The sequence below is a fragment of the Homo sapiens genome, chromosome 8 (assembly GCF_000001405.40).
Source record: "Homo sapiens chromosome 8, GRCh38.p14 Primary Assembly".
In the NCBI taxonomy this organism is placed as follows: domain Eukaryota; kingdom Metazoa; phylum Chordata; class Mammalia; order Primates; family Hominidae; genus Homo; species Homo sapiens.
The window spans coordinates 96262516-96283949 of record NC_000008.11 but is presented as its reverse complement, the minus strand read 5'-3'; the positions used below and the strand labels follow the sequence as shown (position 1 = coordinate 96283949).

Here is a 21434-nt window from a genome sequence, read left to right as displayed (position 1 = left end):
GGTTGAAATGTTTTCTCCACATTATAACGACTGTCACCACAATCATCACAGGCACCACTCTCCACAACAGAGATTTTTTATAAAGCTTTGTCTTGAGAAGTCAGAACATAATTTCCCATGGAAACAATGTTGTAATAGTGAGTGGGTCATCAGGCTAGGCTTAAGTGTGTGTGATGCATATTGTACCTTAACAAGTAAAATGTCCCAGCTGCCCAGGAGCTCCAGGGAAAGAGGCTCTGGACAGCACAGTCATCATCATGTGTGTGCGTTTGCATGTGGGTGCATGCGTGTGTGTACGTGTGTGCACATGTGTGGGTGTGTGTGTGTGTGTGTGAGAGAGAGAGAGAGAGACTGAAAAATAACAGAGGAAACAGAAACATCATGTGGCTTTTCATTATGACCTGTGCTGACAAAACACCTCTGACATGGCAATCCAGTTCAGACACATGCAGATTCCACACAACTGAAACAAAAGTCTCATAGGACAAAACTTTCCCTTAAGACAAGTGATAGGCCAATACTTTCTCTTTTTTCATTAAAAAAGCAGAAGAGGGAGAAGAAAGCAAGCTGAGCCTTGACCTTACACCTCACAGCTATGGAAAAGCACCATTCTGGTGAGTACCTGTTCTATGCAGGTCTACCCACGCCTTTTGAACAGCCTTCCTACACTTGCGGAATTTCCAACTTTATGAATCCCATGTCCCCAGGAGAGACACCAGAGCTTGTTTCCCAGCCTTCTTTACAGGTAGGGCTCATTTTGCAGTGACAATCATGCCAGGCTTGGCCTCAGGAGCTAGTGACAGTAAAGGGAGTAGGTACAGCTCTCCTCTCTCTCTGTTTCTCTAGCCCTGGCCAGTAGGGGCAGTAGGCAGGTGGTGGCCATCCAAAGTGGCACTCCCTTAGAATCCATTGCAGAAGTGACACTGGGGCAGACCATAGCCCATGCTTGCTGGGGTTTCCTCCTTAGAACAGCTCTGTGGGTGGTGCCTGTTTCTGGAAGCTCAGAATATGGTTGGTTTCCTCCTTAGAACAGCTCTGTGGGTGGTGCCTGTTTCTGGAAGCTCAGACTATGGTTGGTTTCCAAGCAAGCCTATGACACTGTGAGCCACTCCTAGTCTTTAACAGGCTCTTTAATAAGCACAGTCAGCTTCTGTTGCTTGCAATCTTGAATCCTATCTGAGGCAAACATTCTGCTGCAATTTTTATTCCTGAATTCATTCTAAAATCATCTATATATTCTTAAAAAGACCACATTGAAATATATTTTAACTACTTTCTTTTGATAAGTCAAGTTCTTATTATGAAAATCAGTTACAAGTACCCCCCACCATTCAAATCTATCAGTGCCTAGGTGGCAGTTCGGATGGTGAGTTTGGTTCATGAGAGACTCTGCTTTATCCAAATGCATTTGCGTTTGGTTCCTGCGTTTTGGATGGCAGGTAGTGAGAACTCAGATGGTTAGGGGTTTATTGAAAATTCATCTAAATCTGTTTGATTTCTGAGTTCTAATAGTGAGGGCTCAGACAGTGAGGACTACCTATATTCCTTTTCAAAATCAGCTGCTTCTTTCTCAGAAAGTCACAGTGAAGGTTATAAACCAGGATCCCCCGCCAGGTAATGTGACACCATCACCTTTTGTCAAGTCATTGGGAAACTCATGGCTAAAATTATCATCTTTTAAGTTATTTTCACTTCCAAATGCTCCTCTTTACTCATGGTAGGCGATAGCTCTTGACTTGTCACCATAAGTGACTTCTGTATTTTGGTGGCTGCCTGGCTTGTAAATATTACTTTATCTATAACACTAAATTAACCTTTTAGATATAAAATGGGACGTCAGTTTTCTGTATAGTTTCCTCTTATAAGGTTCACCTCTAAAACTGTATGACCTATTATTTGGCTTGTGACAAAATCAGCACTTAAAAATTCTATAATGTTATTCTCAAGAGCAATCATAACGACAGGAGTCAGCAGTACCTTCCTGAGCACTTACTATGCACCAGGCTGTGGAATGAGACACCCCCACACAGTGTCATAAGGACTCAGTGACAAAGGTGTCATCATTACTCCCACTTTACAGATAAGGGTACTGAGGCAGAGGAACCTGCCCGGGGTCATGCAGCTCATGGAGTCCTCCTTAGTTCCATCAGAGCCTCCTGTGTCACCAGGCTGAGTCATGAGGAGCACCTGGGGACTTTCCTATGAACTTTCACAGAACTGGGTCAGCTCAGGAAGAGGAAAGGGTTAGAGACGGTATCTGAGGGTTGAGCGCGGACTGGTTTCAGAACCAGGAGAGTGAGGGGAAAGAAACAAGCTAGGAGTGTTTAGAGCCGATGCAACAGGGGGAAAGGCATGGCGCAGGCTTTACCATAATGTGGAACTGATAAGTAGGCTCAGGAAAAGCAAGACCAGGGAAAGGGCAGGGAACTGATAGCTCTAGAGATAAAAGCCAGGGACCACCCTAATCCAGGGAGGTGGGAACCACTGGTAACTTTTGCCTACAAAAGGTGAGATAAGGCCCTGGAATGTAAGGTGACCCTTTCAGTAACTAACTTCAAAACCCAGTCTAGGTTTGATTTCAACCATCAAATCTGCCGCCCTGCGAGTGTGAGCCTTGTCATAACTGCCCATTGCCTCCTGAGAAGAAACTCTGAATTTTTTAAAGTGGTATTTTAAAAAGTACATTTTAGTAGCATTATATACTAACAGTGCAATCTTTACTGTCAGACAGCAGTATTGCTAAAAGTATCATTTTACTTTTTTAAAAAAAATCGAGGATGAGGCTGGCATGTTCTAGATTATAAGTCCTGATACTTACGCTCACTAGGTTACTTGCACCTGGCTACTCCAGTCAAGTCACCTTTGCAGAGCCTAAGGGTGTATGTGCCAGGGGTGGGGATGCAACTGAGGAGGAGCCCCGCATTCCACAGCATCACCTGCCCGGCATGAGCCCCATCTGTAGCATCCTGTGAACATTCATGTCATCTCAATGCCTTCCCCACAGATCTTATTTCCCAACAGACTATTGACTACTTTCTCAGTGGTCTTGTAAAGGCAGGCTTCCTTTTCTTCTCTGACCATTGTTATGGTTCTGAGGTTATTAGAAGGGCTCAGCCTCATGGTTGCTTTCCACAGGAGTTCCTACTCCTTACCTGTGCTTTATATCGGATTTGATAAAAGCTGCCTGGGAGAATTTGGATCTGTGGTTTGGTTACTTACTCTCTTGCTTATGTTGGAGAATTGGGGAAGACTTCTTAGGGCAGTGGTGCAGCAACGAACGCTGGGTTTTGGTTTTCTTATGAGGGACATTTAAAAACTATGTGTTTTATTTACCGTTCCTTCCACCTAGAATACATCATTTTATTTTTCTTTTTTGTTTTTTTGAGACGAGTCTCACCCTGTCACCTAGGCTGGAGTGCACTGGCGCGATCTCAGCTCACTGCAGGCTTCAATCTCAGCTCACTGCAGGCTTCAATCTCAGCTCACTGCAGGCTTTGTATCCCAGATTCAAGTGATTCTCCTGCCTCAGCCACCCTAGTAGCTGGGATTACAGGCATGTGCCACCACGCCCAGCTAATTCTTGTATTTTTAGTAGAGACAGGGTTTCACCATGTTGGCGAGGCTGGTCTCAAACTCCTGACCTCGAGTGATCCGCCCACCTCCGCCTCCCAAAGTGCTGAGATTACAGGTGTCAGCCACCGTGCCTGGCCTAGAATACATCATTTTCAATCTTATATTAAGAGCAAGATTAATTTCAAAAGAACTAGAAACCAATGTCTTCATGAGAAGAGCTAGCATTTTAAAATCTACGTCAGAAATTAGAAAATAAGATCATTGCCTGACTCACCAGAAACTGTTATACCTAGAAAAAATTAAGTTCACAGGACTTCACCTTAGGGAAATAAAAGTATTTTAATAAAAATCAGACATTGCCTGTCCAACAGCTAACATTTGTATCCTCAGGCCAGAGGCTCCCTGGCAGACCCTCTTAGTCAGCTTCTCTTTTTGATTATTATTAGTTAGAGTTCTTCTAGGAAAATTTGAGAAGGTGAAAAAAATGATCTCTAGGCAACTTTCAAACCTAAGGAAAAGAAAATTTATTTATTTATTTATTTATTTATTTATTTATTTGAGATGGAGTATTGCTCTGTTGCCTAAGCTGTAGTGCAGTGGCGCAATCTCGGCTCACTACAACCTCCGCCTCCCGGGTTCATGCAATTCTCCTGCCTCAGCCTCCTGAGTAGCTGGGATTACAGGCATGTGCCACCCCACCTGGCTAATTTTTGTATTTTCAGTAGAGACAAGGTTTCACCATGTTAGCCAAGCTGGTCTTGAACTCCTGACCTCAAGTGATCCACCCACCTTGGCCTCCCAAAGTGCTGGGATTACAGGCGTGAGCCACTACGCTGGGCTGGAAAATTTTTTTTTTTTACAAAAAGTAGTGAAGGAGGGGACACAGGATGGAAGGAGAAAGGAACTTTTTTTTTTTTTTTAAATTTAGAAGATGGTGACCTTTTGGACCACTTCTAAACATCAAGGAGACATGATTATCATTATCTTAGCAAAGAGAAGTCAAATGACACAGAAGAAGAAACAATGATAAACTCAGGAAAAATAAGAAATACTAGTTTTTCACTCTCCTCAAAGACCGTAAAAAAGTGCTGAGTGCAGCCAGGTGTGCTGGCTCATGCCTGTAATCCCAACACTTTGGGAGGCCGAGGCAGGCAGATCACCTGAGGTCAGGAGTTCCAGACCAGCCTGGCCAGCATAGTGAAATCCTGTCTCTACTAAAAATACAAAAAAAAAAAAAAATTAGCTGGGCGTGGTGGCATGCACCTGTAATCCCAGCTACTCAGCAGGCTGAGGCACAAGAATCGCTTGAGCCCGGGAGGTGGAGGGTGCAGTGAGCCAAGATTGTGCTACTGCACTCCAGCCTGGGCAGAGTGAGACTCTGTCTCAAAAAAAAAAAAAAAAAAAGGGGGGCTGAATGGTGTTTCTCTTGCAGACAACAAAAGGGAAAAAAGAGGTCTTGTTCTGTGAACTTTTTTCCAGGTGGATTTATTATTTAATTCAGCATATATTCATGAGAAGTTAATAATGGGCCAGGCACTTGAAGTACAGATAAGGCTGGGCTGGTTTTGGGGGCGTGGTAAGGTGGAAAGGGGATGAACAACAGTTAAAGGGAGTTCTCAGAAGCAGGAAATGTACACCAGAAGGTCGACCGTTGAAAGAAATCTCCAGCCAACTGGAGACTCAAATAGGTTTCTAAATTTCACTCCAGTGATAGGGTGGTATAGTTAAAATTACACATACACTTGAGTGTCAGTTGCTATAATGGGATGAAGGTAGCCATTAAAACATTTTTGTAAGGAAGCCAAAAGAGAATGAAGAGGAGAACTGAAGAGGCGAAGAGGGCAGGAGAGAAGTGTAAATGCAGACATCAGACCCTCTCCTTCCCCTGCTCTCACTGCCAGCCCTCTCCCTCCACATCTGCTTATGGGACTGAATGAAAGAACTCTGGGACCTAATCCTACCACTCACCCTGTTGATTGTCACACAAAATTTTGTTTGAGTGTCCACTCCTCTGCCATATAGCTCAGGGGTGGATTCTAAACCAGCAGAGGTAATCCTAGTCCCCTGTCATTCTTCTAGCCAACAAATATCTGTTGAACACCTACTCCTCTAAACACTATAAATTTCTGTCCTTGGAACTGGTTGAGAAGAGACATGTGGCCCAATCCTAGTCAAAGACATGTAAGTGTGCTGGAGGATTGCTAGAAAAGGGGTCTCTACTCAAGTAAAGACACAAGAGAAGAGATGATCTCTTCATCTGCTGGCCATTGCCTGCCACTACATGGCTGGCACTGCAGGAGCTGTCTCAAGGCCAGCAGGGCAGACTGCAGCCTAGAAGACGGCAGAACAGAAAGGGGTAAAGAAGCTGGGTCTTCACAGGTCACTGAGCCGCTGAATAAGCCAGTCTGCCAACCACCCTATCTCAGAACGTCTTGTTACGTAAGAAAATAACGAATTTCCTTAGTGTTTAAGCCATTTTGAAATGCGTTTTCTATCACTTGCAGTCAAAAGCATCCTGACTATTATAAAATCCTATGGAGAAAGTCAAAGGTCTTTTTTGTTATTTAGACTCTACAAAAAGAATCACAAGGCTCCCTTCCTGTAGAAGTTGACCAAGTCTACTACATAGATAACATACATGAACTCACACATACGTGATGAGACAAATGGACACAATCCACTTTTGGCCTATACACAGCCGTGCAGGGCAGCATTTAACAGGTCAAGGATAAATGCATTTCAAGTTGCCAGAAAATTTTTCCGGACATGCTATCCACTGCAGGCACTTCCCCAAAACTGTCTGTGAAGGAGAGGGCAAGTTTGGGCTCCATTTTTCCTATTCATTTTCACTACTTGACTTGAGAATATGTGCCAAGGGTGGGGAGAATGGAAAATAAGAGGACAAGACTGAGTGTGAAGGGGCATGTACACTCCACTCACAGAGACAGCCGTTCAGCATGGGCTCCTGGGGAGGCCTGTGGCCTGAGAGAGGGCTCTAATAGGGGAGGCCACGCACCTCAGGGGCACCCTGCCCAGGGCCCTCCCAACTCCCCACCATCTCCACTAGCACCTTCCAAAGCCATCCCTAATTTGAAAATATTCAATAACATTCTTTCATGTGGAAAAGTTAGTTTTACTACTCTTAGGTAAGGTATGAATAAACAGATCTTTAGAAAACAAACGACGTAAACACAGTATGTTTGCTATATATACATGGCTTGAAGAGAATCCAAGTCCTCCCTTTGCTGACTAATGTCCCAATCCCTCCTGCACAGGACACTGAACTGCCATCCTCCTTGTTTATACCTTCTATACCTATCTGAAACCTTATTTTTGGCATGGTCTGCCTTTTGGTGAATGGTGGTGTGTGTGTGTGTGTGTGTGTGTGTGTGTGTGCGCGCGCGTGCGCGCGTGTATGTGCCCGGGAGGAGAAGAAAGGATGGTAGGGCAGAAATAGAGTGGAAACAGGAGACAGTAGGAAGGCTCAGATCAATGTGTCAGTTCCTGCCAGTCACAGACAACACATGAGCAACAGAGGAGCATCAACTCAGTCACCACCCACCTCCTTTGTGGGATGCAAAGCACGCTAGGTCCAGGCCAACTAAGATCCCACCATGGGGGAAAAGACAAGCCAGAGACTGACAGAAAAAAAGAGAAACAGCAGGAGACAGAAAACATATTATGGAGAAAGCCAGAGATAAAGCACCTTGCAATGGACCTAATATGAGATATGACCAGAGCAGCACCGCGGAAGGGAAATGCACAGCTGTGGCCCTGCGAACAGGCTGACATCAAAGGCTGGGGGACATGGTGGCACGTTTCAGCCTTCTCACTGGTAAACTGAGCTGGCTGAACTAGATGAGCTCTGTGGCTCCTCCTCCCTTTGTGCGTATCACAAAGTCCATGCAGCCAGGATAAGGAAACCGAGCTTCAGTTTTATCTTTCCAGAATCAAAACAAAAGCACAGTCCCACAATGAGAGATTGAGCAGCTGAAGTCAACTTTGAAGATTAGAGGACTTCATTGGGGAACAGAGGCAAAGCCAGAAGAAATCACACAAAGTGTTACATCAAATAGATTTAATCCCCTAACCTTCAGTGCCTTTGGTACCTCAAGAAAAACATCAGCTAATGAAGCCCCAATACTCAGCTCCCGCTAAAGACTTAGAGAAGGGACGCCTGTACAAATCACAACTATTGAGAGACTAATCTTTTAGAATCCTCACACTTCTAAAACAGCTCTGGGCTCAGAAACAGCAAATTTTTCATAAGGAGCCAAAAAGAAACTTTCAAAGCCACGAAAAAGTAACCCTTGAGAACTAAGCAACAAATAACACAGGTCAAGGAAAGCTGAAGACTTAAAGAACAGACCTGATACCTGTGCACTGATCAGTTTCCTGAGGACATATGCACGTATCATGCTCTGATTGACTGATAAGGGAACAAAAAGGACAGAGGACATAAGAGAAATAAGAGAAAAGTAGGAATAGAGGGCACAGACCAATAATGGTCATGGCATTGAGTGATGACAAAGAAGAAGGCAGCAGATCACGGGATACAGAAGGTAGAATGGCTGAGGGGAATGGGGAATAAACTGTCACTACCATCTGAATAGTCACCTAGTCATGTTTTAGAGGCTCCAAATGTCTGCTTTGGTGGTGGTCAGCCTTGCGTTGGTATGTAACCTGAGATAGAGTTTGCCATTTCCTTGCTTTGAGATGTATTCTTAGGCCACCTTTGTACAGAAAGAGCTCAGGGAACCCACCCTTGGCTGGCCACTTATGCCATATCATATACAATACGGCACTCTTGAAGGAGAGGAGGGTCTACATAAGACCCAAGCACTCCTCTAACGTAAAATTCAATGAGAGGGAAGGGAAAGTTGGCAAATAGCCAAAAAGCTGTTTGACGTCAGGGATTTTTTTCAGTAAATTTGATAGCAGGAATCCCAGCTGCTCAGGCAGCTGAGGATGGAGGATTGCCTGATGCCAAGAGTTTAAGACCAGTCTGGGCAACATAGTGAGACCCCATCTCTATCTACAAAAAATATAAAAAATTAGCTGGGTGTGGTGATGTATCCCTGCAGTCCCAGCTGCTCAGGAGGCTGAGGCGGAAGGATTGCCTGAGCCCAGGAGTTTGAGGATGTAGTGCCCTATAACCACACTTGTGAATAGCTATTGCACTCCAGCCTGGGTAACACAGCAAGACTCCATCTCTAAAATTTTTTTTTTTAATTAAAAATTCAATAGCAGGGTCAACACCCCTTTATTCCATGACTTACCCATATTATGCACAACTTGTCTTCATACCGTGATAATTGTGCACTACCAGAACCATCAATCCCTATGGAAAAGCCAAACTACATTTGACATATCTGCATAAGGTATGCAGATTTTCATTAAAAAATTCTTTTTCACCTAAAAGCTTGAGTGGTTGGAGAGCTAAACTCAGCTCCCAAATAACTTGGCTATGTAGAACAATTCATTCTCTGAGAGATTCAGAGTCATGGTTTTATCAGCATGATTATTATGCTAGTCTGCTACATACTAAAACCACTACGTTCTTGTAAACGCAGTGCTACGTATGAGTCTGCCTCCAGAGTGACGCTCCTAACTACGATGGAAAACTTGGATTATTATTATTATTATTATTTTGAGATGGAGTTTCACTCTTGTTCCCAGGCTGGAGTACAATGGCGTGATCTTGGCTCACCGCAACCTCCGCCTCCCGGGTTCAAACGATTCTCCTGCCTCAGCTTCGCGAGTAGCTGGGATTACAGGCACGCACCACCACGCCTGGCTAATTTTGTATTTTTAGTAGAGACGGGGTTTCTCCATGTTGGTCACGCTGGTCTCGAACTCCTGACCTCAGCTGATCCGCCCACCTCGGCTTCCCAAAGTGCTGGGATTACAGGCATGAGCCGCCGCACCCGGCTGTTTTTTCTACTCTATCTTCTAGATGACTCGTATCTCAAAAAATAGGACAAAATTCCACTGCCACCATCTTAGGAAGCCTGAAGGCCTTGACATGGAACATTTCCAGGTAGCATCTGATAACATTCATAATGAGCTTCTTATATTACACATGATAGCCTACTGAATAGCATGAGCGGTTACAAAAGAAATGCATCTTAAAGCATGATATTTAAAACCCGAGTACGTCCGGCCCATGGAGAATAACCCCTAAGAAAGACTGGAACAATTTCCAAATGTCATAGGTGTTAAAAAAAAAAAAAATAGAAGACAAGAGTGAGCGTTTAGAAGTGGCTACGGCTACGGCGAACAAGTAGAGAATATTCTAGTGGAAAGGTACTGAAAGGGAATAAGAGAAAAGAAAACAACTTTTAAGGAAGAATTTGGAGGAAAGGGATGAATTATGAGCATGGCAGAACACCAAACTTACTTTTTAAACAAAAGCTTTGCCTCACTCACTCCATAATCATGATGGGGGTAAAATTCACAGAAATCATTGTCTTTTTTTCCTGCTGATGAAAATTCATATCCTAAATGCATAATCAGCAAAGTTTATGGTGATAAAAGATCACTTGGGACAACTTATTTAAGTAATACTCATTACAGCATTGACCCTGTCCTTAGCAAAAAGGAAGAACTCAGCAGTAATGGAGTATTTTATGACTCAACTGATAATAACAAAAACAGCAACAAAAACAACCACATTTATTGAGAGCTTATAATTTGTCAGTCATGTTCATAGTGTTTAACGTGCACCCATTTAGTTAACCCTCACAACCGTACCTGTCTGCTCTCTCCATTTTATAGAAGGAAACTGAAGTATTCTCAGCACTCTTAGGAGGCTTCTCTGGGGCTAGGAAGTGGCAGAATGGGCAGTCTGCCTCCAGAGCCTGTGCCCCTAACCACTACACAAAACTCAGATTATTTCTTTACTTCATCTTCTAGATGACTCACATCTCAAAAAAACCAGAAAGGCACAATATAGGAGAAATGTGGTAATGCATGACATTACTTACCATTGGGGAAAGCTAACACACTGATGATAAGAAAGAAGAAAATAACAGAGAGGATGCCTCTCCAGATGTTGTCTTCTGGAACAGAGTCATCCCTGAAAATAGAAAAACAACATTGAGCATTTACTTTCAGATCCAAATAGAAAACCTAGAGGAAGGAAGATTTCCATGTTCTAAAAACTGGGGGACTGCCAGATGTATGACAGGATTGAACATAGGTTCTGAAATAAGAGATTTATACAGATCATACAATAATTCTTAGATCATTATGTGTCCAAACGGCACTAACAAACTAATGCTGACTGTTAATTTCACAGACCTGATTATAAAACCAGACTATATAATCAGACACACTTTACCTTCCAGTGAAGTGCACTTTTAATAGACACCTAACAACTGAATATCTGCCCAGAGGTTATAAATGTGGCCCTCAAAATGCCAGCCTGATCTTTACTAGGGTACCTGTGATGCCTTCTGGCTTAGGTAGGGAGGCTCAACATCCAATTTCCAGGAACACCAGTTTTTACTTAAGAATGGCTGCACACTGAGGGCACACAATGTCCTCATTCAGACTGACATCACATAATTGACATCGGGAATGATGATGACAACATTAATAGCTCCCATTTATCTATCTACTGTGTGCCAGGCACTGACCAGGCAGTTTATAAACATTATCCCTAATGATCACAAGTTTGCGAAATGGAAGTATTATCAACCACATTTTACAAAATGAGGTTGCAAAAGTTCAGAAAGATTAAGTAACTTGTCTGAGGTTGTGTAGGTAAGACATTGCTAAGCTGGCATTCAAAACCAGGTCTGCTAGACACTGAAGACAATGATTGTTCCCCCAAGCCAAGCTATCTCATGAAAAAATGATCTGTCATCCTAAATCAGCCTGACTTATGTTAGAGGCACAGGGTTGGTATAAAAGACATTGACAGGACACACAATATGTAGGTTACAAAATAAAAGCAAAGCTGAAATTAACAACTGTTGCATGGGAAAAGAAGGTTCATTCTGTAACTCATACTTTATAATAAATATATTCTGGAAGATTCAAAAAATTAAAATTAAAGATTCAAAAAATTTTAAAAAATACTGGAAGAAATTGGAGAATTAAAAAAATAAATGAACCTCAAAACAAAACAAAACAATCAACAATCATGAAGTGGTAAATTCACATGGCAAAGAAATCAGTAACAAAATCGAAGGAAAAGAGGTAAACTTGGGGGAAAAAAATTTATAACTCATATCAAGACAGAAGACTAATTTCCTTAATATGCAAAGCATTTTCCCCAAAATCAACTAACAGGAAGAACAAATTAACACAGAAAAACAAATAGAAAAACGGGCAAAAGATATGAAGTTTGTTCACAAAGTAAAAAAATCTAAATAGAAAAATGGGCAAAGCATATGAAGAGTTTGTTCAGAGAGTAAAAAATCTAAGGCTCTCAGAAGTGAAAAGATGGTCAACCTCACTCATGGTAAGTTAAAAATAGTGACCGTTTTAAAAGTCTACCTTATTGAAAAACGGGCAAAGGATATGAAGGGTTTGTTCACAGAGTAAAAAATCTAAGGCTCTCAGAAGTGAAAAGATGGTCAGCCTCACTCATGGTAAGTTAAAATAGAAACTGTTTTTAAAATCTACCTTATTGATAAAGGTAAAACTTTAATGACTGAGCTGGGGAGGATATGAAGAAACAGGAAAATAGGCATGCTCATACATTGCTGGTAGCAGTATAAATAAATCACCTTTATGGAGGGCAATTTGGCATTATTTTAAGTCTACAAATGCATATGCTCTGTGACTCAGCAATTTTACTTTCGGGTATTTATCCTTTAGATAAACTCTCATTCATGCAAAAATGACATATATCCCAGATTGTTCACATGGCATTACATGTATTCTTAAAAAGTTGGAAGCAATCTAAATGTCCACCAAAAAGAGACCGAGTAAAGAAATTATGGTCCAGTCTTGTGATGGGAAGCTGGGCAGCCATTTAAAAAAACAAGGAAGCTTTTTAAGAATCAACTGATTCATAATAATTTAAAAGATATCATTAAGTAAATAAAGCAAATTGCAGAATAGTAGGTATAATAAGCAACTATTTGTGCAAAACAAGGTGGGGAATGTGTATGGGTATGTAGCTTATAATTTATGCTTATGCTTGCACAGGATGTCACTGGAAATCCACCCAAAAAAATGGTGACACTGGTTTTCTCCAAAGAGGAAAAATGAGGGGCTGGGGAGAAGTATGGAGAGAGGTATTCACCACATACCCTTTGATGTATCTTGGACTTCAAGCGACGTGAATACATCATTCTCTTTAAAAACATTAACTAAAATTTTAATTAATGGGTTATTAACCACAAATAAATGGCCATGGCAAATCAGTAAATTAGTCTCTATTTAAAATTATCTACCAATCAAAATGCTTGAAAAGGTACATCAGCACTAAATTTATAACTAAATGGGTAATATATTAGGTTGTAAAACCAATGAAATGGCAGTTTTGTAAATTTTGAGCAATTTTATTAGAAAAAGAGGATCAAATGGATGGCCTAGTTTCAGAGGTGGGAAAATGTTGATTAAACGGAATAAAATAGCAGGTGGTTCTGAAAAGTTGGCAGTTTTATATTTGTCTAATTAGGAAAAAATGTATTAATGAAAGACAGTGAGGTCTTTGGATAAACTGAAAATATGCAGTATGGGAAGATCAAACTTCTGCAATCAAAGATTAGGGGATAGGAGAGTGAGTTTACGAAGCCATGTGAGTCCTATCAGACTAAAGGCCCCAATGTCACACTCTACTGTGAGTTTCGAGAGCAGAGAGGGTGTCCCCACCTCATTTAGAACAGCCCCTTACCAGTCTGTGGTGGTGGTGCACAAAAAGAACAGAATGCCTGACAGGTGAGGATGCCAAACTCCCCTCTGGCCACAGGGCAACCTGAGCACACAGGGCCATTCTATAAGGTCTGGTGTGAGTCCCTCCTCTCTGAACCCCGAATAATCCAGAGATTTAACCACATGCTGAAGTTTCCATAGTTAATCATGAAATAGAACTTGGCTGCAGAGTCCACATGAGTGGACCCCAAATGAGGGACAAGATCTAGTATCCATGGACAGCCACTATATTCTAGTGGCTTTGCATGTTAGCTCTCTGAATCTTTGTAACACTCTATAGCAGGAAATGATCATAATCTGCATTTTACTGATAGGGTCTGGCCCCAAAGTACAAGCTATTTCCCCTACAGGAGACCATACAGTGCAGTGACTGGTACAGGCTGGGGCCAGACCACCAGCCTGTGTGACCTTGGGCAGATTACTTAACCTCTCAGTGCCCCAGTTTCCTCCTCAGTAAACAGAGGATGGTAATAGTTCTACCTCATAGGGTTGTGTGAGGATTAAATAACTTAAAACATGTAAAGCACTTAAAACAGTGCCTGGCACAGAGAAAGTGTCCGTTACTATCATGAGTTCACAACGTTTGAATGCCCTTCATTTACGTCCACTCATTCCTTCTTCTAGTTAATGCCTATCATTGGGTAGGGACTCTTTGAGGTCTGAGATAAAGAGACATGGCCCTTATTCTTGAGTGGATCAAGATAAAAAAGGACAATGAGACATTATCTTAGTATAGCCTTGCCCTGAAGGAAATGTTTTTCATATGTAGGAACTGTCTCTGACAAACCTCAAAAAAGCCTGGGTATTCACCTGTGATTGGCCCCTTGGTGGGATTGTAATTGTCTCCTACGGCTTTGTGAGGCTGCAGTGTGGTTCCTGCTTCTCAGGAAAGATCATGACTTGTGGTCTGGGCTGCCCAATCCTCATCTTGACTCTTCCTGGCCTAAGGGTACTTGCTCAACTAAGACATGTTGCTTGTTCACAGCAACAACAAATATGAAGACTTAAAGCTTTCCATTGTGATGCTGTGACACCGCCTTGACTTCTTTCCTGGGTCTACTGCAGCTACTAACAACAAAATGCCCCAGTCTGCAGTGCCCTGAACACTCCAAAGAACTTTCACAGCTGGTGTTTTATTTAACAGTTCCACAGTTCTGTGGGGGAAGGCAGAGCCAATATTATCTTTGTTTGAAGGATGAGGAAAATTAAGCTCTTGGTTTATCTTGCCCACAGTCACACACAAATAGAGGCAGAGTGGAAGTAGGTATGAGGGCTTCTGGAATGCTGGCTGTAGGTCAAGATTGCTATTATGCATTCTCCAATAAGGACACAAACAGACAAGCTTAGGGAGGCAAAGTCTTCCTCGCTCTCTGCTAAACTTAGGAGGTGCTCCAGCATAGCACTGACCACATATTGTGAAAATACCAAATGTACAGATTAAAATAAGAAAGCTCCCCAGGGCACAAGTCCCACCTCATTTCCCCAAGGTAGCTCTAGTGCCTGGCACAATGCCCTGACACACAGCAGGCATCCACCTGCCATAGTAGGTGGCAAGAATGAGCAAGATGATATGACAGAGTAGGCCAGTGACTCAGGTAACGTGAGGGGGGAGTCTCAGCCTGACCCACAGGGTCCACTGGCAGCGACTTCCCTCTCCCCTTGCAGAGTGTTGGCTACAGAGGGCTATTGAGACCATCAGCAAATATCTAAAATCCCAATCAAGTTTTCAAACACCTTGGCTTCTTCTGCAGAGCATTGTTTCAGCTAGGATAGGGAACTACCCAAAGAGACAAAGTCTTAACAGCAGGAAGTATCAGGAAAGCCCTGAGTTTAAAAAAAAAAAAAAAAAAAGTTTGCACTCCAAAGAATTTCTGGACTCTGACTCCGATTCTGTCTCAATTTAATATTTGAGTACAGGAATTTGACCAGAGGGGTGGTAACTTCAGGAAACCAAAGCAAAGTCCATTCACTTGCCTACAATCTTTTAGACAAGTCTTTCTCCCTGGGGTCAGGCAGCCAGGAATATCTAACCTTTATTATGATTCCTAAGGCTTCTAGGTTAATTGTCCCTCTCCCCCTCCCATCTTCTCCCTCATTACTTTTAATATGAGTCCTTAAATAAAGACCTATAGGTTCATGTTTAGATGAGTCACTGTTTAAGGATCATCTCTCCCAATAAAAAGTTTAATCCCAGGTTACATGGTAGACCAATGTTAAGTAGCTTAGGTATTATCTTTAATACCACATTCATCTATTTTATAGAAAGTTATGATCCTTGTTAAGAATTATGGGTGAGACATCAACTAAAGGAAAAGAATGGTGATAAATTTTAAGTTCTTATTGAATAAATGATTTCATGCATTCCATTCATTCAGCATTTACTGGATGTCTATCCTGGGATGACTCAGATAACTGGCCTCAAGAAGCTGATACAGAAACTAATATTATGACATGTTAGATACAATAATAACAAGTATTTGGAAGGATATAAACATTTCTTCCTCTGTGCTTCTTGGAACAATTGAGAAAGGTATCTTGGAAGGGAACCATCCAAATGGATTGTGAAGGATGCCAAGGGTGGTGTCATGTGTGGGCAGGAGGTGGCGGGAGGTGCCTTCCAGTCTGAGAGATGGCAGCCCTGCCTAGGTATGGGACACGTGAGCTGCCGGGGCCTGCTGGGTGTTGGGTGTTGGGTGTGCTGTGTATGGAGGGAGGGATAGAGGTGGGAAAGTAGACTTACTCCATTACAAAGGACGCTGGAGTCCAGCTAGTACTTTCCTATAGGTGACAGGCATCTACTGAAATACCGATGTCAACCAGCTTTGGTGTTATCTTTCATACCATACTAATTTCGTTTTATGGAAAGTCACAATCCTTGTGAAGAATTACAGCTAAGTTATCAAGTAAAGCAGGAGAAAGGTGATATGTTTTAAAGTATTTATTAGATAAACGAGAATTTTAAACAGGGAAAGATGGGACCATGATTTTGTCTAAAAAGATCACAGGGGCAGCACTGGAGGGAGGGGAAGCCAGGGCCTGAGAGTCAGCTATCCCAAAGGGTTGGGAGTTTGCTGAGCAAAGGCTTGGGAACGGAAAGAGAACAGTCCCGAAAGCTATAAAGGCCCAATCAGACCTGCTGAAGATAAATGAGATGGTGAACTCCAGGTTGGGAGAAACCTGGGCTAGAGGCAATGAGGACTATGAACTGTTGAATTGAATTAATTGAATTAAATGGGATGCCAGGGCTGAGGAAGCAGTGCAGGCTGACCGGACTAGTCCTCGTTCTGGGATTAGTTAAGACTGAAAAACTGTAACTTCTCTACAGAAATCTGGGGCAATAGGAATTATGTCACAAGATAAATTGTGTTACATCTGGTAATAGAACTACATCTAAAATGCTAAACACAGTTTATTCAGAACAGATGAACTTGAATTAAGGTTGCTTACTAAAGAGGAGTCTGAAAGGCAGCAGTTCCTAGGTATATAATCTCTGTGGGCTGAGGCATCATCTAAGCCAAATAAATATTTAAGTCACCCAAGTGCCCATTCACTGCAGTAGACCCCAGAGAAATATATGGCACATTTCCCCCTTTAACAAATTAGAAATCGTATTATGGACATAAAACTCTGGAAATCAGTATAAGAAAAAATGTAAAACATTAAGTTCAATAAAAAATTTGATTCAAATGGTAACCAGGGAAAAGAAATGTTAACAATCATTGATAACTGGACCTCAGGTGCAACCTAACACAATGTTCACCTCCAGGGCTGGTTTAATCCTAGCCCATAATCACTATAGATGAGCATTTAACATTGCTAGTGTCAGCCAACAAGGGCATGCAGGGCTTTTGTTGCTGGGAGAGAAGGAACATGATGTATATAAAGGAAACAGGATAAAGACAACTGAATCAGCAGTATCAGGGGACATTTTCTAATGGGAATTTATGTGGTCAAGAGGGAAAGAACAGGGAATGCTAGCAAGTATCCATAAGCAATATAATACAGGTGGCCACAAGTATGCCCCAATGATATGACGGTGAACTGGAGTTCCAAAGCCAATAAGGGAAATTAAGTAAAAACCATTATTAACAAATCAATCAGTCAATCAATCAGTCTGTCCATTTCCCTGTCCTTGCCTGTCTCCTTAGTTCTAAATCGAGGAGAAATGAAGCATAGACAAATTGATGATCACTTAAGTACACAAATCCGCAGAAAGGCAACGTCTTCTAGGTAAGTAACAATTTTTGTTGGACAAGTGCTAACAAAGGCTGATTCTACTGTTTAATGGCAGGTGCCTCTTAAGGAGAGGTGGGCTTCTTTGAATGTGAATTAATAGATTCTGGTGTTTTCTAAATCTAAAGCTTGAGTTTTTTAAACTAAAGGCATTCAATATTTCCAAGTTTACCAACCCCTGAATGCAGAGTAAATATGAGGGTATCTTATAGGTAATTATTATACTCTGAGCTTGAGACAAAAGTTTTCCTTGCCCTACTTTGCTAACAAACTTCTAAGACATATGCGTAAGCATTTATTTATAAAAATACTATTTATTTTTTAATAGAGATGGGGTCTTGCTATGTTAGCCAGGTTGGTCTTGGACTCTTGGCCTCAAGCAATCCTCCCACCTTGGCTTCCCAAAGTGCTAGGATTACCGGCGTAAGCCATTGCACCCAGCCTACTTATTCTAAAATGTGGGAAAATAAGTTTTTGGTTTTCTTTTGAGACAGGGTCTCATTCTGTCGAGTGAGTAGGGTGGAGGCTGGAGTATGGTGGCGTGATTCAGCTCACTGCAACCTCTGCCTCCTAGGCTCAGGTGATCGTCTTACTTCAGCCTCCAGGTGCATGCCACCACGCCCAGCTAATTTTTGTTTTGTTTTGTTTTGTTTTGTTTTGTTTTGTTTGTTTGTAGAGATAGGGTTACACCATGTTGTCCAGGCTGGAAATGAGCTTTTTCAAATAGGAAAATGATTAGGTAGTATCTAACTTTATTTTTAATGATGGTGATAAAGACAGGAGATATTTAAATACTATGGTTTAACAGGGAATTGACCTAAGGGCCATCTAACAAAAGAACTACTTGACAAATCCAAACTTGTCTCAGACTTCAGTGCAAGGTATCTAATCCTCTGTAATTTTAAATTCTTGCTGGATCTCTGAAGCATGTGACAGTACCCAAGTACTGTTTCTCACATACTGGTTATATGACATCCCAAAAGAATCCTATCTCCTCGTTCTCTTAGACAACTAGTCTTTGCAAAACAAACTTTAAGACATATCTTTTAAGTTTTACTGAAAGAATTGCACTGAACAATTGTCCAACTAAAATCTTATAAAATAAATAATAAGGCACTGGAGTTAATCATTACAAAAGAACATAGGATACATTTTCATTTAAGAAGTCGTTACTTTCCGTCTTTATGGAGGAATATAGAGCTATCATTGTAATGCCCCACTTAAGTCACAAATCATTACAAAAAATGAGTAAGATTTAGTAAGTACGAATTCTATTAATGGTGCTTATGATTTTATATAAAGTGAAACTTGTTATTAATTAGTTCTTCATTATGTGATTTCTGTCTCTTTATGAAATTAGTGGAAGAAATAAAATTGTTAACATTTTTGGATGAGACTACAGTCTGAAGTTCAGATTATGGTTCTTCTATTATTTTGGACAAGCTGTTAAAATTCGTATTCATTTCTTATACTTTCACTGCTGCAATTTATTGACTGCCTTGACAGAATATGATGTAAAAGGAAATTTCAGAAGATTGTGACTTTTTATATCAGAAAAGAGGAAGAGAAACCTATTTTGAAAGGACCTAGAATAATATTAAAAATGAAAGGCTGAAACAAATGGCTCATTCTTGCTTCTCATTATTTAAAACAAAATACCATAATTATTTTTCTAATTTCCAGAGAAACTCCCTCACTAATTTCATTATTTCAAGCCCACACCTAAGATGAAGTTAAACTGAAGTTAACATCAAACAGGTATGTATGTTATCTAATGTCCATTTTTCCAGTGCTTTTATCCTTCTCAATTACAGAGCATACTACATCCTCGTTCAATAATAAATATAAATTAGAAGACAGTAGCATTCAATGAAATCACATCGTAATAACCACTAATGTTTATTAAGCACTTAATACTTGCCATGCACTGAGCTAAACAGATTATCTAAAAAGATGAATTTAATCCTCATGACAAATAATCCCGACAGATTAATGTATTGATATTTTCATTTTACATACAGATAAGGAAACTGAGGCCTAGCAAAATTATGTGGCCACACAGCTATTAAGTGATAAAATCAGGCAACATAATGAAGTATTTGAAAGTAACCATAGTTAGGGACATGATTCATTTCTCTCCAAAGCTAGAAATATGTCTGGTCAGGTACTGTGGAAAGGTCTGGTCTTCACCTGCTGCACAGCTTTAGCAGATTTTATAGTAATAGTGGCAAGATCCCTCAATCATTAAAGAGTAAGCAATTGTTACTTAAGCTTTATACCTTTAGGTAGATTCTTTCAAATGGATAAACACTTACATAACAAGAACCAAGAGTCAAATGAATCCCAGAGGTAAGGAACAAGTGTGATGTGGGAGGATATTAGTTTTATGAGGATTTGAAAAACTGCAGTTATTCCTAAGGGAGGCACCACCGGCACTTGTGTGTGTGTATGCAAACGACTGTGTAGAAGACAATTCCCTTTATGTTGTACAGCGCTGTCACATATGTCACAATACATTTAGTATCCGTTAACTGCTCCCCCTCCCAAATACTAGAAGTTCTCTCAATCCTTGTGACTACCCAATATATATATCCCTACACATGTTCTGCTGACCCTGACAGAGAACCTTGATTGTTGGATAAAAATACTGGGAGAGAAGTAACTGACATGAATTGTACATTGTGCTCCAGGGACTCTGCTAAATGCATTCACACACATTCATTTAATTTTCATAACCCTATATAAGTAGATATTTCATCCCCATTTTACGAGTGTGGCCCCTGAGGCTCAGAGCAAGGTTATGCAACTTAATTAAGGACACACAGCCAGTTTTGAAACCAAAAGTGTGGCTCAAAAACTACTCTACTCTAAGTTGGCCTTTTAAGCCATAATGGTGAGAGAGGTGTGACTTCCCTTTCTTTAAAGAGGTTCATTCAGAAAGTATAAATCATTCTAAGTAGGAACCACGGTGTGTACCTCCTTATGAACCAAGGATGAATTAGTTCTCTAGGTTAGGAATGAGGAGCCACAGGCGCAGTGCCAGAGTTAACATGAGGTGTGTTCAAGATTTGGGCTGGGCAGCTCCTATGAACCGGTATATATTAGAATGTGTGTGTATGTTTTCCAGGGAATAAGAGAGTTGTGTTATGCTGTGTGAGGTTTATGTGTTTCATTTAACACACAGCAGTTACTATACCCCAGGCACCATTAAAATTGCTGGACAAGATCACATTTCAGCACGTATGTTAGGTAATGAGTGAGCAGGGTATGCACCGCGTGATGTGTGGCGGGCTGGTGTCTGTGCAGCCATGTACACAGATGATGGGTATTGGGCTGTGCTGGAAAGGAAAGGTCCGCTGTGAGGTGTGTGTTTAGAGTGGCAGTTTGTGCCGTGGTACAGATGGTAGTGTTTGAGGCTGGGGGAAGTGTTATGCTGGATGACTTGTGTGCAATGCATACGGGAAGTGCTGCACAGGAAAGACCGTGTATGCAGCACACATGTGCATTTTTTGTGCGTTACGGATAGTGCCGAATACCGGAGTTCCACAGGAAGGGATCTAGGTTGTGTCCTGGGCCTGTGTATGGTGCCTGCAGGCGCTGTGGATTGGGGTGCTTTGTATGTGTAGCGGTGTGTGCTGAAAGTGGTGCATACGACATGATTCATGCGGTGTGCTGGGTAGGGACGAAGGCTGGAGCAGTGCAGAGGAGGGGCCCGCGTCGTGATGTTGTGTGGAGCG

At 41.5% G+C, this 21434-nt stretch overlaps 1 protein-coding gene and 1 long non-coding RNA gene across 3 annotated transcripts in view, besides 4 other annotated features; one reads left to right on the top strand and one right to left on the bottom strand.

Moving 5' to 3' along the window:
• The window catches only part of PTDSS1 (phosphatidylserine synthase 1), a 75094-nt gene that overhangs the window by 53046 nt on the left and 614 nt on the right, over nucleotides 1-21434 (bottom strand). For both annotated transcript variants that reach the window (NM_014754.3, NM_001290225.2), the window contains exon 2: nucleotides 10560-10651. In NM_014754.3, the coding sequence (NP_055569.1) occupies nucleotides 10560-10651 (92 nt within the window). The remainder of the gene's footprint in view (nucleotides 1-10559; nucleotides 10652-21434) is intronic.
• On the top strand, nucleotides 525-19144 carry LOC105375652 (uncharacterized). Its single transcript, XR_928431.3, has 3 exons — nucleotides 525-614; nucleotides 17613-17694; nucleotides 19058-19144. It is a non-coding gene; the product is annotated as an uncharacterized LOC105375652 (long non-coding RNA).
• Nucleotides 1582-1631: an enhancer, noted in NCBI's record as "active region_27663". NCBI's record gives its function as "activates an Ori minimal core promoter by ATAC-STARR-seq in GM12878 lymphoblastoid cells {active_cell/tissue: GM12878}" and the evidence as "EXISTENCE:reporter gene assay evidence [ECO:0000049][PMID:35858748]".
• Nucleotides 2082-2301: an enhancer, noted in NCBI's record as "active region_27662". NCBI's record gives its function as "activates an Ori minimal core promoter by ATAC-STARR-seq in GM12878 lymphoblastoid cells {active_cell/tissue: GM12878}" and the evidence as "EXISTENCE:reporter gene assay evidence [ECO:0000049][PMID:35858748]".
• Nucleotides 15255-15549: a silencer, noted in NCBI's record as "tiled region #10382; K562 Repressive non-DNase unmatched - State 23:Low". NCBI's record gives its function as "represses a minimal TATA promoter and a strong SV40 promoter by Sharpr-MPRA in K562 cells {active_cell/tissue: K562}" and the evidence as "EXISTENCE:reporter gene assay evidence [ECO:0000049][PMID:27701403]".
• Nucleotides 21123-21362: an enhancer, noted in NCBI's record as "active region_27661". NCBI's record gives its function as "activates an Ori minimal core promoter by ATAC-STARR-seq in GM12878 lymphoblastoid cells {active_cell/tissue: GM12878}" and the evidence as "EXISTENCE:reporter gene assay evidence [ECO:0000049][PMID:35858748]".